The sequence below is a fragment of the Homo sapiens genome, chromosome 6 (genome assembly GCF_000001405.40).
Source record: "Homo sapiens chromosome 6, GRCh38.p14 Primary Assembly".
Taxonomy (NCBI): Eukaryota; Metazoa; Chordata; class Mammalia; order Primates; family Hominidae; genus Homo; species Homo sapiens.
The window spans coordinates 27,857,098-27,871,414 of NC_000006.12; the positions used below are offsets into that span (position 1 = coordinate 27,857,098).

The 14,317-nt window shown below is 42.5% G+C and overlaps 2 protein-coding genes and 1 pseudogene across 2 annotated transcripts, besides 10 other annotated features; 1 reads left to right on the top strand and 2 right to left on the bottom strand.

Annotated features, from left to right (window-relative positions):
- H2BC16P (H2B clustered histone 16, pseudogene) lies at positions 6,965 to 7,304 on the bottom strand (annotated as a pseudogene).
- Positions 7,001 to 7,180: an enhancer, noted in NCBI's record as "active region_24324". NCBI's record gives its function as "activates an Ori minimal core promoter by ATAC-STARR-seq in GM12878 lymphoblastoid cells {active_cell/tissue: GM12878}" and the evidence as "EXISTENCE:reporter gene assay evidence [ECO:0000049][PMID:35858748]".
- Positions 7,841 to 7,910: an enhancer, noted in NCBI's record as "active region_24325". NCBI's record gives its function as "activates an Ori minimal core promoter by ATAC-STARR-seq in GM12878 lymphoblastoid cells {active_cell/tissue: GM12878}" and the evidence as "EXISTENCE:reporter gene assay evidence [ECO:0000049][PMID:35858748]".
- Positions 7,971 to 8,040: an enhancer, noted in NCBI's record as "active region_24326". NCBI's record gives its function as "activates an Ori minimal core promoter by ATAC-STARR-seq in GM12878 lymphoblastoid cells {active_cell/tissue: GM12878}" and the evidence as "EXISTENCE:reporter gene assay evidence [ECO:0000049][PMID:35858748]".
- H2AC16 (H2A clustered histone 16) lies at positions 8,220 to 8,701 on the top strand. The gene has a single exon (NM_003511.3). The coding sequence runs from the start codon at positions 8,258 to 8,260 to the stop codon at positions 8,648 to 8,650; it is 393 nt and encodes a 130-aa protein (NP_003502.1). The 5' UTR covers positions 8,220 to 8,257; the 3' UTR covers positions 8,651 to 8,701.
- Positions 8,238 to 8,759: an enhancer, noted in NCBI's record as "NANOG-H3K27ac-H3K4me1 hESC enhancer chr6:27833113-27833634 (GRCh37/hg19 assembly coordinates)". NCBI's record gives its function as "activates a minimal SCP1, AML or CMV promoter by ChIP-STARR-seq in naive H9 embryonic stem cells {active_cell/tissue: H9 hESC(naive)}" and the evidence as "EXISTENCE:reporter gene assay evidence [ECO:0000049][PMID:30033119]".
- Positions 8,311 to 8,400: an enhancer, noted in NCBI's record as "active region_24327". NCBI's record gives its function as "activates an Ori minimal core promoter by ATAC-STARR-seq in GM12878 lymphoblastoid cells {active_cell/tissue: GM12878}" and the evidence as "EXISTENCE:reporter gene assay evidence [ECO:0000049][PMID:35858748]".
- Positions 8,691 to 8,740: an enhancer, noted in NCBI's record as "active region_24328". NCBI's record gives its function as "activates an Ori minimal core promoter by ATAC-STARR-seq in GM12878 lymphoblastoid cells {active_cell/tissue: GM12878}" and the evidence as "EXISTENCE:reporter gene assay evidence [ECO:0000049][PMID:35858748]".
- On the bottom strand, positions 9,695 to 10,491 carry H1-5 (H1.5 linker histone, cluster member). Its single transcript, NM_005322.3, has one exon. It carries the CDS (start codon positions 10,430 to 10,432, stop codon positions 9,752 to 9,754), a length of 681 nt encoding a protein of 226 aa, NP_005313.1. The 5' UTR covers positions 10,433 to 10,491; the 3' UTR covers positions 9,695 to 9,751.
- Positions 10,311 to 10,420: an enhancer, noted in NCBI's record as "active region_24329". NCBI's record gives its function as "activates an Ori minimal core promoter by ATAC-STARR-seq in GM12878 lymphoblastoid cells {active_cell/tissue: GM12878}" and the evidence as "EXISTENCE:reporter gene assay evidence [ECO:0000049][PMID:35858748]".
- Positions 10,681 to 10,750: an enhancer, noted in NCBI's record as "active region_24330". NCBI's record gives its function as "activates an Ori minimal core promoter by ATAC-STARR-seq in GM12878 lymphoblastoid cells {active_cell/tissue: GM12878}" and the evidence as "EXISTENCE:reporter gene assay evidence [ECO:0000049][PMID:35858748]".
- Positions 12,806 to 13,445: an enhancer, noted in NCBI's record as "NANOG-H3K27ac-H3K4me1 hESC enhancer chr6:27837681-27838320 (GRCh37/hg19 assembly coordinates)". NCBI's record gives its function as "activates a minimal SCP1, AML or CMV promoter by ChIP-STARR-seq in primed H9 embryonic stem cells {active_cell/tissue: H9 hESC(primed)}" and the evidence as "EXISTENCE:reporter gene assay evidence [ECO:0000049][PMID:30033119]".
- Positions 13,446 to 14,083: an enhancer, noted in NCBI's record as "NANOG-H3K27ac-H3K4me1 hESC enhancer chr6:27838321-27838958 (GRCh37/hg19 assembly coordinates)". NCBI's record gives its function as "activates a minimal SCP1, AML or CMV promoter by ChIP-STARR-seq in primed H9 embryonic stem cells {active_cell/tissue: H9 hESC(primed)}" and the evidence as "EXISTENCE:reporter gene assay evidence [ECO:0000049][PMID:30033119]".

A 14,317-nucleotide genomic window follows, 5' to 3' on the forward strand; every position in this document is an offset into this window, starting at 1 on the left:
CCCAAAGTGCTGGGATTACAGGCGTGAGCCACCGCGCCCGGCCCTGGTTTCCTTTTAAGAAGAGGAAATTTGGGGCCAGGCATGGTGAGTCAGGCCTGTAATCCCAATACTCTGGAATGGTGAGGTGGGAGGATAGCTTGAGACCAGGAGTTCAAGACTCCGTCTCTTAAAAAAAATTTAAAAACTACAAAATAAGAAGAGGAAATTTGAACACAGACATGCACAGAGGAAATATGACCTGGAGACACAGGGAGAAGATGCCATCTACAAGCTAAGGAGAGAGAGAAGAAAGGAGGAGGAGTAGGAAAAGGAGGAGAAGAAGAGGAGAAGAAGGAAGGAGAAGGAGAAGAAGAAGAAGAAACCAACACTGCTATGTCTCAAAAAACAAAGAAACCAACACCTTGATCTCAGACTTCCAGCCTCCAGAACTGTGAAAAAATTAATTTCTGTTGTTTAAGCCACCCACTCTGTGGTACCTTGTTATGGCAGTCCTAGCAAACTAATACAGCAGTCAATACATTAATACAATATAATGCTACAGGTCCAATCCTTTGTCTCCTTATCTGTAGATCATAGATACCACTAGCACTTACCTCCCAGGCCTGGAAAAATAAATTAAGTAATGCATAATATCTAGAAGATAGTACACACTCAGTAAATGGCAGCTGATGACTAATGTTATTTTTTCCCCAATATGGCAAAAGCAAGATTTAAGTATCATATGGTTTAATCCTTGTGGGCAGATCATTAAATGCAGAGCCATAATGTAAATTCTGACATTCAGGAGTCCCTAACAGAGTATTAGAGCAAACTAAATCAAGAATTTTCAGATGTACAGGGAAATAAGCAAGATAAATATGTGAATAACAAAATATTGAAAATAGAAAAAGTGGATGTCGCACTGAAGCAGGTTGTTCTGATATTCCACATTAGTGAAGAACCTACCAAGCTGCCTAAACAGAGGGAAGGAGCATAGCCCTGGGAGCCCCTTGGAGATTGATATCCTACTCCATATTTGCTAGCCTGGTAACTTAAATACCTCAATGAGTGTGTAATTCTCTTGATTGTCTGCAAAATGGAGATAATAATAAAATCCCACTTTTCTTACAAGGACTTTATGAGATGATGTCCCTGCTTCCAAGCATGTTCTTGGAACCTGGATGAGGTGTATATATGAAAGTTACTGTGAAACAGTCATTACAATTTACTTTTCCTTTCAACAAAATAAGCTTGAGAAATAAAAGTAAGTATAATTTTGTAAATGTTCCACCACAATGTAAGCTTCTCCAGGTCATATATTTTTATATTTCCTGAGTTGGGCATACAATAGTGGCTCAAATAAATAATACATTAGTGAAACCAGTGTTTTCTCAGATCTGTATCAAGTACCACTAGAGTTGTGGAAAATGTTTATAAGTAGTTTATGAACTTTGCTTTTTTAAATGTTGGAACAGAGAATAAGAATATCATTCTCTTTTCTATTCTCTTTAAATCTTTCTGATTAACTGACTGGAAAAGTGTCAATTTGGTGCTAGTCGATGTTTAAGGCCTCTCTAACACTTGTTAATCTTTCCTCTCTCTCTTTTTTATTTTTCAATTTTATAACAAAGAGCAGTTTTTAGGCTCCAAGTAGTAGATAGCAAAGAGCATATAACTATAATTGAATATTATTGTTTTATTTTATGCTGTTTTATAGTTACCTTCTCTTTATTATCAGAAGTAGAAATTTTCCACTAGAATAGTGATGTAAAGCTTTTAAAATAAATTGATTTCATTTTCTACATAGTGTAGCTTGTATCCAAATACAGGAAAAAGAAAAAAAATTTTAAAGTGCTACTCACGTAACTGAAGTTTGAACAATACTACATAAAATAATATAACCAATGTCATAAAACCGGAAATGGCAAAAGATACTATGGTTATACATCCAGCCTTCTGTATATGTGCATTCTGCTTCCATGGTTTCAACCAACCAAGGATCCAAATATTTAGGGGAAAACATCAAAAATAACAACAATAAAAAAGTGATATGAAAAAACCACAATATAACAACTATTTATATATTATTTGCATGTTTTAAGTATTATACGTAATCTAGAGATGATTTAAAATATAGGGAAGATATATGTAGGTTATATGCAAATACTACACCATTTTATACAAGGGATTTGAACATCCAGGGCTTTTGGCATGCTAGAGGAACCAATTCCCCATGACGCTAAAGACTACAGTATTTTACATTATCTTTATAAATTATAAGTCTATTTATGTTATATGAAATATAAATTATGCTGTAATATTAACTGTAACTGCTATACGAATTCAGAAAGGGTAAATATTCTGGAATGCTATAATTTGGGGAAATTTTTTGGAAGAGCTATGACAAGGTTCAACCTTTATTCAAGAGTTATTACCTTTGTTCAAGAGTTATTACCTCTCAGAGCTATCTGAGGGTCAGGAATCTGGGAGCAGCTTAGCTAGATGGTTTTTACTCACTGTCTGTCTCTCATGAGGTTTCAGTCAACGACTGTGATTACCTAAAAGCTTGACTGGGACTGTAGCTTCCAAGTTGCAAGAAGAGGTTCCCTTATGTCACTGTTGGCTAGAGGATTCATTTTCTTCCCACACATCTCTAGAGGGCTACTCTTAATAAGGGCTGGCTTCCTTCCTCTAGAGTGAGTGATCCAAGAGAGATGGGCAATGATCAAGATGGAAATCTTTTATCTAATATTGGAAGTGACATACCATCACTTCTGCCATATTCTGTTGACCAACCCTGGTGCAATGTGGAAAGGGCTACCCAAAGATGCAAATATCAGATGCCATCTTTTAGGCTGTTTCCACAGTACACACTGAAAAATGTGTCTCTCAGCCCTTACAGGCATAATATCACCCGGGGAGTTTCAAATATACCAGATGCGGCCAGGTGCGGTGGCTCACGCCTGTAATACCAGCACTTTGGGAGGTCGAGGCAGGTGGACCAGCTGAGGTCGGAAGTTCTCAAGACCAGCCTGACCAACATGGAGAAGCCCTGTTTCGATTAAAAATACGAAATTAGCTAGGCGTGGTGGCGCTTGCCTATAATCCCAGCTACTTTGGAGGCTGAGGCAGGAGAATCGCTTGAACCCGGGAGGCAGAGGTTGCAATGAGCCGAGATTGCGCCATTGCACTTCAGCCTCGGCAACAAGAGCTAAACTCCATCTCAAACAAACAAACAACAACAAAAAAACAAACAAAAAAAAACTGATGTATAATTGAAAGGGCCATTTGATTATTACCTAATTATGTGGATAATGTACTACACAAGGAAATATGAGAGATTTCGCTGTCTTGCTCTGAGACAGGTAGAAATAAGAAGTTGCAGAACACTGAAATTCAGAAGTAGGGACATGTATCACATGGTGGGCATGGCTTTAAATGTTTGAAACAGTCTTATTTGTCACAGGCCCATGTTTGTGGTGTTTCTGATGCTCCCAAACTGGACACACATTCAAAATTCGTGATTCTCCCACCAGCATTTGTTTAGTTCAGGAAGCTGTGGGGAAAGAGTACTATTCTGGGGGAAAAAAAGGCAACTGCTGAGAGTGAAAGACTTTGAGTTCCCATATCTTTAGGGAAGGGTCTGGCACTTATTTGGGATTCTTCATACCCTGACTCACCCTGGGAGGTTTTCCTTCCTTATGTCCTTTCTGAGAAGTTGAACAAAGAAGTAATGACACATGTGGAGTGCCTTGCATGTTGTCCCTTTAAAGTCCAGGATCAGGGGGTTAAGATGAGTACAGCTGGTCACACAAAACCCACAGCTTTCTACAGCTATTAAAAATTTGAAATATAGGACAATACTATCCAAAGATACTATAGTGTCATATAAGTTCCTACACATTCTTGAAGCTGCTTCCCCATTTCTGTTACTCCACTTCCAGCGACTTTTCTCCTTGTTCCCTCTGTTCCAGCCACATTGACCACTTTGCTGTTCCTTGACTAATACCAAGTATCTCTCCTTCCCACAAACACCTCAGGGCCTCTTTACTTATTCATTTTTTATTCTGCCTACAATCCCCAAAGGCCCACTCCCTCATCTCCTCATCTTTTTAAAAATTTCACCTTCTTGATGAACATTCTGTAATTATGTTATTTAAAATAAGAAATACAAAGCCTATCTTTCTTTTCTGCTTTATTTTCCTCCCCAACATTTAATATTATCTTACATCATAAAAGATATATATTTTTTGTTCCCTTATTAGAAAATAAACTGTGAGTGCATAACTTTTTGTCTGTTTAGTTCACTATAATATTTCTGGTCTAGAAGAGTTTCTGGCACACAGCATGTGCTCAAAAAGTATCTACTGAAAGTAAAAAAAGAACTGGAAAGCAGCACTGCATGGGCGGAGCTTTGTGATTCAGTTTGATAGATAGGCGAGGGTGCCCTAAGCCTTTCAAATGCTGAATAAATATATAAGATTCCTCTTTAATATATATGAAATATGTGTATAATCATAATTCACAAAGTATTCTCACTGATCCTTACAATGGTCACATGACTATGAATTGCTGTTATCTCCAACTTACAAATATAGAAGCTGGGTGTCAAAGAAACCAAAATCTTGACCTCCTGAAGTGGTCATTTGTTTTAGGAGTTGGTCTCCTAATTTCAACACTGAGTACCAGTGTAAGTCCCATAGGCCAACCATAAAAGAGAAGACAGGTAATGTGGGTTAAAAATAGATTACCAAAAATTAAAAAAAAGAAAAAAATGGATTACAAAACAAAAATATTAAAGACAAATAGAAGACTATGTAGAAACAAATTGTATTTCTGAGATTATTGGTTCTAAAGGAACTGAAATTATAAAGATACAGGAAAGACAAGAAGGTCTCTGCTTGCTCATAGGCAGGGTGTATATGTGTGGGAATGGTTCAAACAGGAAGGAACTCTAGAGAAGCTTCAAGACAGAAAAACAATGCAAATTTTAAGACATAAAAAAGGTTTCAGGGGAAGTAAGACTTGGGATTGGCCTCAAAGTGTGGACAGAATTTGAATGGTGAACCAACAGTGACTACAGAAATGGAGGACAGCTATAAGAAACATTTCAGGGAATAATAATTGTACTTTGTGAGCCTAATATTATTTCATTCCTTGACTGTATCAGTAACAGTACTAATTTCAGATTGAATAATGTGGGTGGATCTAGTAAAGCAATAGACTTCTTCTTTCTCTTTTTTTTTTTTTTTTTTTTTTTTAGTTGGAGTCTTGTTCTGTTGCCCAGGCTGGAGTAGAGTGGTGTCATCTTGGCCGACTGCAACCTCCACCTCCCAGGTTCAAGTGATTATCGTGCCTCAGCCTCCCGAGTTGCTGGGATTACAGGCGCATGCCCACCAGGCCTGGCTAATGTTTTTGTATTTTTAGTAGAGACGAGGTTTCACCATGTTGGCCAGGCTGGTCTTGAACTCCTGACCTTAAGTGATCTGCCCACCTTGGCTTCCCAACAGGCTGGGATTACAGGCATGAGCCACAGCGTTGGCCTAGCAATAGACTTCTGTAAATGTTTCTAGCAACATTTTGGAAGTTGGAGAGAAGACAGTCACTAGCTTTGTCTGCAGACTTGGCTGCTTAACTGTCCTTGGCGCCTTAACTGTCCTTGGCTCTCTGAGCTCATAAATTCAGCCTAGATTTTGTGCTTTTCATTCACATAGGCCCTTCTAAGGCCTCCAGCTTTTTGATGAGAAAAGATTGACTAATACCTAGAAAAACAACAAAGGTGTTAGGTTTCATGATCCTGGTATCTGACAGTCTGTAGAACAATTGGGACTTGTATTTCCACACTGATTCCTGGAAAAGGCAAAATGGCTTTCCCAGCCTAAAAACTGGGAGACTGCACTTCTCTCTTGGAGAAAAGGCCTTCTCATGACTCTCCCACTTTCACATTTCAAAAAGATTGCCTTTTTGTTTAGAATTTCCCCCTTATTACAGAAAAAAACAGTAAGGAGAATATAGAGTGAGATGAAATGTGGAGCTGACTCAGAAAAGAAACTGACCTACATTCTAAACTCTTAACCAAGAAAAAATTTGATCATATTAAAATTATGGTAAACAAATGCCATTCCTTATAATGATGAGACATTAAAGGTGAGGAAAACATGAAGCATAATCAATTTACATCTTAAATTAGAGGAACTTCATAGGACAGGTGTGAAAGTGGGGAGAAGCGTGGAGTACTTTGGTCTACTTAGGACAAATGTAGAAAAAAGTAATTAGTAGAAAAATTCCATCTGCCAGCATGGCATCTGGATTAGCAAGGAAGGATCCAAACCTCATTTCTAACTGGTGGGAAGAGGTAATATAAATTGGTTCTAATTTCTTTCCTTCCTCTTTCTCCATTTTAATCTCAACACCTTTAGGTCATTTTGTGCAAATTAGGCAAGAAAGCACATTCCCTGCTTTCATGTTATAAAAGAAAAATTGAAAGAGAATGCCACCTGGATTACATGGTAGTCACTGAGTATCCTACCAGGTGGCCTGAAAATTGTGGTGTAACCTGCAAAACGTCCAGTGATATTTCAGTAGAGGTTGATAGGACTTTTACTTTAAATACTTGGTTTTCTAGACAATAACTCAACAGGGGATTCTCGGTGTTGAAATTGAGCCTGGATAAGTGAAATTCGCACAATAAAACTCCCGTTTTGTGTATTTGACGTTTGTAACATAAAATACTTAGTAGCAGATAATATTGGAAATATCATAAGGCCACAATGTATCTTTTGCATAAATTAAGAAGCATTTATGAAAGGCTTTAGGTTAAAGCTAACTGAACATTTCAAAACTAGGGATAAACGAGCGTCAGTTCTATTTAGGAAGTGTGAATATCTCTGAAAAGAGTCCTTAGGGTGTGGGTCAGGAAGAACCTAGTGGAGTGTGAGTCAGGAAGAACCTAGTGGGGTTCCAAGTGGACGAACCAGCAAGGAGCTCACTTGGAGCTGGTGTGCTTGGTTACGGCTTTGGTGCTCTCGGACACAGCATGCGTGACAGGCGAACAGCCGTCTGGATCTCCCTGGAGGTGATGGTCGAACGCTTGTTGTAACGCGCCAGGCGGGAAGCCTCGCCCGCAATACGCTCGAAGATGGCATAACGAAGGTGTTCAAGATCCCCATTGCTTTGGACGAGATGCCGGTGTTGGTGGACCTGCTTCAGCACCTTGTACAAGTACACGGAGCAGCTCTCCTTGCGGCTGCGCTTTCGCTTCTTGCCTTAGTAATAGTCTTCTTGGAACCCTTTTTCGGGGCTGTGGCCGACTTGGTGGGGTCAGGCGTGTTGTAGTTTAACTGCAGAAAGGGTACAAGGAATAGGAAAAAGCGGCCGGGCGCGGCGGCGCACGCCTGTAATTCCAGTACTTTGGGAGGCGGAGGCGGGCGGATCACTTGAGGTCAGGAGTTCGAGAGCAGCCTGAACAACATGGCGAAACCATGACTCTTCAAACAAATGTAAAAAATTAGCTGGGCGCGTGATGCACTCCTGTAACCCCAGCTACTGGGGAGGCTCAGGGAGGAGGATCGCTTCGGCCAGGAAGGCGGAGGTTGCGGTGAGCCACGATCGCGCCACTGCTCTCCAACCTGGGCGGCAAAGCCAGACCCTGTCTCAAGGGAAAAAAAAAAAAAAAAAAAAAAAAAAAGTCGCCGGGCGCTGTGGCTCACGCCTTTAATCCCAGCATTTTGGGAGGTTGAGGCAGGTGGCTCACCTGAGCTCAGGGGTTTGAGACCAGGATGACCAATATGGTGAAACCCTGTCTCTACTAAAAAATACAAAAATTAGCCGGGCTATGGTGGCTGACGCTTGTAATCTCAGCTACTCAGGAGGCCGAGGCAGGAGAATCACTTGAACCCAGGAGCGGACGTTGCAGCGACCGGAGATCGTACCACCGCACTCCAGCCCGGGCGAGAGGGAGACCCTGTCTTAAAAAAACAAAAAAAGAAGAAGAAGAAAAAGCTGTGTGTTGTAACGTCCTGTTCACGAATTCTTATGCAAATGAGGTGATTAATAAAATAGTGTGTAGGACTGGTGGCGATTCTAGATGACGTCATATACACGTTTGTCCAATCCAAAGAAGCATGTTTCATAACAGCGATTCCATTGGTTGAAATAAAACTGTAATTTGAGCCAATGGCACAGCTTTATTTTCGCGCCCAGTATTGACTATAAGTAGTGGAGCTCTGGTGAACTTCTCTCGGCTGTTCTCAGTTCCTCCATTTATCGTTTCTTCGTCATGTCGGGACGCGGCAAGCAGGGAGGCAAAGCTCGCGCCAAAGCCAAGACCCGCTCTTCTCGTGCCGGTCTCCAGTTCCCCGTGGGCCGAGTGCACCGACTGCTCCGCAAGGGCAACTATGCTGAGCGGGTCGGGGCCGGCGCGCCGGTGTACCTGGCGGCGGTGCTGGAGTACCTGACTGCCGAGATCCTGGAGCTGGCGGGCAACGCCGCCCGCGACAACAAGAAGACCCGCATTATCCCGCGCCACTTGCAGCTGGCCATCCGCAACGACGAGGAGCTCAACAAGCTGCTGGGCAAAGTAACCATCGCTCAGGGTGGTGTCCTGCCCAACATCCAGGCTGTGCTACTGCCCAAGAAGACCGAGAGTCACCACAAGGCCAAAGGCAAATAATGTCTCCATAGAATCACTTTCCAATACAACGGCTCTTTTCAGAGCCACCTACTATTTCTGCGGGAGAGCTGGGCCACTGGTTAAACATTTGGAACGTTTGTTATGAAAAGATAAAGCATTTTTCATCTAGAGCTTAGGAATGACTTTTAGGAAAAACCTTACAGGATTCAGGTGACATGTTTAAGTCAGAATGTGAACTAGTTATTTAATGTAGGGCTTACAAGAATGTTCGCTGTGTTTATTCATCTCGTGTTATATGAACTAGAACCAATAAAAAAAAATCCAGAGCCAGGCTCAGTGGCTCACGCCTGTAATCCCAGCACTTTTGGAAGCTGAGGCGGGAAGATCGCTGGAGCTCATGAATTCGAGATCTGCCTGGGCATCATAGCGGATACAAAAATTAGCCGACCGGGGTGGTGCACGCCTTTAGTCCTAGCACTTCACAGAGGCTGAAGTGGGACGATCCCTTGAGCCGGGGAGGCTGAGGCTGTAGTGAGCCGAGACCACGCCACTGCACGCCAGCCTGGGTGACAGCGAGAACCTGACTTGAGGAAAAAAAAATAATCCAGTACAGAATGACACGGTCATATCAAATTGGCATGTAATAGAGACCCCATCTTGAAACTTGCTACTATATTGTCTTGTGCGTTGATAGCATATTATATTAATGCCGAACACATTAGTGACGCCGAAGTAGCTGGTGCCTAAATGGCTTAAACGCGGAAAAACCACATACAGATGATGGAACAAAAACTGGCCAATCAGATTATAGAGCGGGCTTTTTAAAATATAAGAAGCTTCTTTGTAGCTAGGCGTCTGACAAAAAGCTTGACACCAACTTAACAAAAACCAACGGCTGGAATTCATACTCTAATAACAGACTGCATGGGTAAACTACGTGGGGAGTCCAACCAACACCCTGGACTCTTGCTTGCCTTGCGTTACTCGATTAGGGTTGAGGGAGAACTGCCCGAGATTTTTCGAATGCAAGGAATCTTGCTGCCTGATCTAACATGTTGTGCACAGCCATTTTTTAGAGGTCTCTGGGTGGCTCTGAAAAGAGCCTTTGGGGCTTTGTTGCGGTTTTCACACGCCAGCTTCCTACTTCTTTTTGGCAGCCGCCTTCTTGGCCTTTGCAGCTTTAGGTTTTGCTGCTTTGGGCTTAGCGGCTTTGGGCTTTGCCGCCTTCGGCTTAACTGCCTTGGGCTTGGCAGGACTCTTGGTTGCCTTTTTCGGTTTGGCAGCGGCCTTGGCCTTCTTAGGGCTCTTCGCCACCTTTTTGACGCCAGCCGCCGCGGGCTTCTTCGCCTTCTTCGGAGTCTTCTTCACTGCCTTTTTCGCCCCTGCAGCCTTCTTGGCCTTCTTAGGCGTGGCCCCCGCGGGCTTCTTAGCTTTAGCGGCGCCTGCCTTCTTGGCTTTGGGCTTGGCTTCCCCGGAGGCCGCCTTCTTGTTGAGTTTAAAGGAGCCAGAAGCACCAGTGCCCTTGGTCTGCACCAGGGTGCCCTTGCTCACCAAGCTCTTGAGGCCCAGCTTAATGCGGCTGTTATTCTTCTCCACGTCGTAGCCACCGGCCGCTAAGGCCTTCTTAAGGGCTGCCAAAGAAAGGCCATTGCGCTCCTTAGAAGCAGCCACAGCCTTGGTGATCAGCTCTGAGACTGGGGGCCCCGTCGCTTTGCGCTTAGCAGCGCCGGCGCCGGCAGCCTTCTTAGTTGCCTTCTTCTTAGCCGGGGATTTCTCCACCGGCGCTGGGGTGGCTGTCTCGGCAGGAGCGGTTTCCGACATGGTGGCAAGAAACTGCTAGAAGAGAATAAGCTCGAAATCTAAAGAGCAGGTTTTGCGTTGCTGCTATGCTCGGGCCCCGGGCTTATATAAGCCGGCGCTGCCCTGTGATTGGTGGAGCGTCCAATCCACCGCCCTCTGGCCGCCGCCGCTCGCGGTTGGACTCCCAAATTGTGTTTGTTAGTCCTCAAAATTTGATTAAATGCTTAAAACAATGGTACAGAATTTGGCACTTTGAAGCTCCAAAGGAGGAAAACAGCCTCCAGGTTCACATACTTGTTTGTGTTTTCAAGAATCTTGTGCAATTGATGAAAGATATTTTAAAAAATCCCTTCAGCTTTTCATAAGAATCCATTGGGCTGAGGGCATCATGTTAGTTAGTAGCGTGTCGCGATAAATTTCTACTAAGTATCCAGTGAAAGTTATTTTTAAAAATTTGCCCATGAGTTCATGCTTTGATTTTTGCAAGAGAAAAGACACTGGGTTCCTTGGTTTGGGCATGAAGTTTGTTTCTAACTGTAGCAAGTAACACAGGCACAGGACAGCTGGTTGCCTACAGCCCCAACTTAACCACATAGACTTGACTTTACAAACTGGTTCTGTGTCCTAGGAGTTTCCATGTGCTAATGTCTTTACAGAATGGGATTTTGCAGCTTGGAAGAGTTCCACAGTCAGAGTGACTTCTTCTGCATTGCAGCACCAGTAATACAAATCGCTTTGACTTAAGGATCTAACTACTCAGATTCACATTCAAACTTAAATGTGTTATGTTTTCTAATTAGAGTGTTTTCTCTTTTTAGTTCCTGGGCAAATCCATTAAAAAAGGGGAAGAAAAATAATATAGATAATTCAGTTTAGAGAAAACTCAAACTTGTGGAAAATTATTCAAGAGCTCCCAGTGATCCTCAAATGCACAAACTGTTTAGGTGGCCCAGGACACTGTCAGGTTTTCGAAATGTTCTCACTGCTCCCCCTGAATCTCCACCCACATTTAACAAGCTGCACCATCAGGAATACTCTCTTCTATGAGCAGCCAGGATACATCAATATGGGTATTTTTGTGTGTTTTAGCGCTAATATTTTAGAAGAATATCTGGCTATTGACTGTGAAAAGGTTGGATTGGATATTGAGCGACTTCACATTATAGAGGTTCAGAGGAACTCAGGAAAACATAGGCAAATACACTGAGGTTGAAATAAATGAAGTTTACAATTTATGGGAGGTGGAGGGGATTGGACAGGATGCCTGGATGATAAAAATGATCAAATGATGATTTGGATTCCTAATGAAATCAACAGTCACTTATTTCTCATTCTTGAAATGCTGTGCAAGAAAATTTAAAGTAGCCAATGCACTTCATCTTCTAAGAACTCCTGGAGAAGTTGGCAGACTATGGCCAAATCTGGACAATGGCTTTTTTCTGTATGGCCCTCAAGCTAAGAAGTGTCTTTATGTTTTAAAAGTATTGTTAAAAAAAAAAAAAACAAAAACAAAGGCTGGGCACGGTGGTTCATGTCTGTAATCTCAGCACTTGGGGACACTGGGATAGGTGGGTTGCTTGAGCTCAGGAGTTGGAGACCAGCTTGGGCAACTTGGTAAAACCCCATCTTTAATAAAAATACAAAACATTTTGCTGGATGTGGTGGCACATGCCTGTAGTCTCAGCTACTCGGGAGGCTGAGGTGGGAGGATCACTTGAATTCAGGGTGTCAAGGCTGCAGTGAGCAATGATAGCAGCACTGCACTCCAGCCAGGGCAATGGAGCAAGATCCTGTCTCGAAAAAGCAAACTAACTAAAAACTAAAGAGTGTGTGACAGAGACTATATATGGCCTTTAAACCCTAAGCTATTTATTACCTAGCCCTTTTGCTGTGTTATAAATTTCTCCACAGAGACACAGATATTGTATAGGCCTCTTACCGAACAATGCAAATTGAGAACTAAAGAAAAGGAGATCTTCATGAGCAAATGATCTAACCAAGCACTTTCCACTGTTCCAAACACAAAACTTAGAAGGTCCAGGAGAAAAAAACCCCAAAACTCCATGTGTAATGGAGCCAGGGTATAACAATAAGAGCTGACACTCATTCAGCATTTACTACCTGACAGGAAGTAATCTTAAATATGTTCTACAGGTTTCTATTAATTTGCTACATTTACAGCTATACAAGATGAGGCCCAGATAGAGAATTAATAACTTGTCAAAGGTTATACAGCTATGAAGTGGCAGCTCTAAATTTTAAACCTAGAAACATGGCCTCAGCTCTATTATGGAGGGAAAATCCTTGAAGAGGTGAGAAGAGAACTATCTTCAAAGCTTGGAAGAGGCAGTGTCAAGTTGTTCCTACACCTAGCAAACAGCCACTAAAAGAGCTCTAAGTTAATTGTGGGAAGAGGCTTCTGGCCCCATGGATCAAAAGTGTTTTTTTGTTGTTTGTTTTTCTGAATCAAATCTTAAGTTTCCAAAAACTTTATACCTGTATCCAACCCTTTGAATGTGAGGACTTTTTTGTTCATCTGTGATGGTGGATATCACAAAAATTATGCACAGACTTTTCTTTCTTTCCCTTCCTTCCTTTTTTTTTTTTTTTTTTTTTTTTGAGACAGAGTCTCACTCTGTCACCAGGACTGGAGTGCAGTAGCGTGATCTCGGCTCACTGCAACCTCAGCCTCCCAAGGAGCTGGGACTACAGGCGCCTGCCACTATGCCCAGCTAATTTTTTGTATTTTTAGTAGAGACGTGGCTTCACCATGTTGGCCAGGCTGGTCTGGAACTCCTGACCTCGTGATTCGCCCGCATCGGCCTCCCAAAATGCAAAGTGCTGGGATTACAGATGTGAGCCACTGCGCCCTTCCTTTTTCCTTCCTTCCTCCCTTCCTTCCTTCCTTCCTTTGTTTTCTTTCGTCAGCTATCTTTAGTGATCCTGTATTTTAGGTGTGGCCCAAGACAATTCTTCTTCCAACGTGGCCCAGGGAAGACAAAAGATCGGACACCGCTGCACCAGTTGCTGGGATACATGCCTCTTTGCAAGAGTGAATCCAATATGAGAAAGGAAGGCACAGATATGAGGCTGAGCTGGCTGAGAGCACTAGGGAGAAAAATTGCCTTCACATCTCTGCCAGATATCTCCTAGGTCAAGATGTGTGCTTCAAAAAGTTTAAGAGCAAAATGAGGTCATGATAGTCACATATGTAGAGCACATGAGGAAACTCTAAAACAGCTGGAAATAATGGAAAAGTTTGGTTAGAAACCAGGAAGAGCTTTAAAATACCACTTGAAGTTTAATACCCAGACTGATTCTCTCTGAAAAAAAAAAAGAAAGAAAAAATCTCATGAAAATCCAACTCCACAGTCTATGACAAGCATATGGTGAAATGACAGGAAAATATTTTTTAAGGTCCACTTAGAGCTAGAAGTTCATTTCATAGATGACAGCATGCAGTAGGTTAAAGTATCCCTCCTCAGAGGCCCACTACCTAACACATGGCTTGCTAAACATTACATTGAAACAGAACAAAAGTGTCGAGCTTTTTGTCAAAACTGTTACTTGCATGGGGTACGATGGCAACTTTGTTATGTGCATATGCTCCAAGGTGGTCAAGTTACATGGGCTATACAAGAGCTAAATAGCTTACATTGTACCAATTAAGTAACTTATCATTCATTCTTTCCTCCCTTCTGAGTCCTTATTGTCTATTGTTCCACTCTCATGTGTGTAGTTTTTAGAGCCTGTTGTTTTTTGTATTTTTGAGGCGGAGTCTCGCTCTGTAGCCCAGGCTGGAGGGCAGTGGCGCGATCTCGGCTCACTGCAACCTCTGCCTGCCAGGTTCAAGCGATCCTCCTGCCTCAGCCTCCCGAGTAGCTGGGACTACAGGCGCGTGCCACC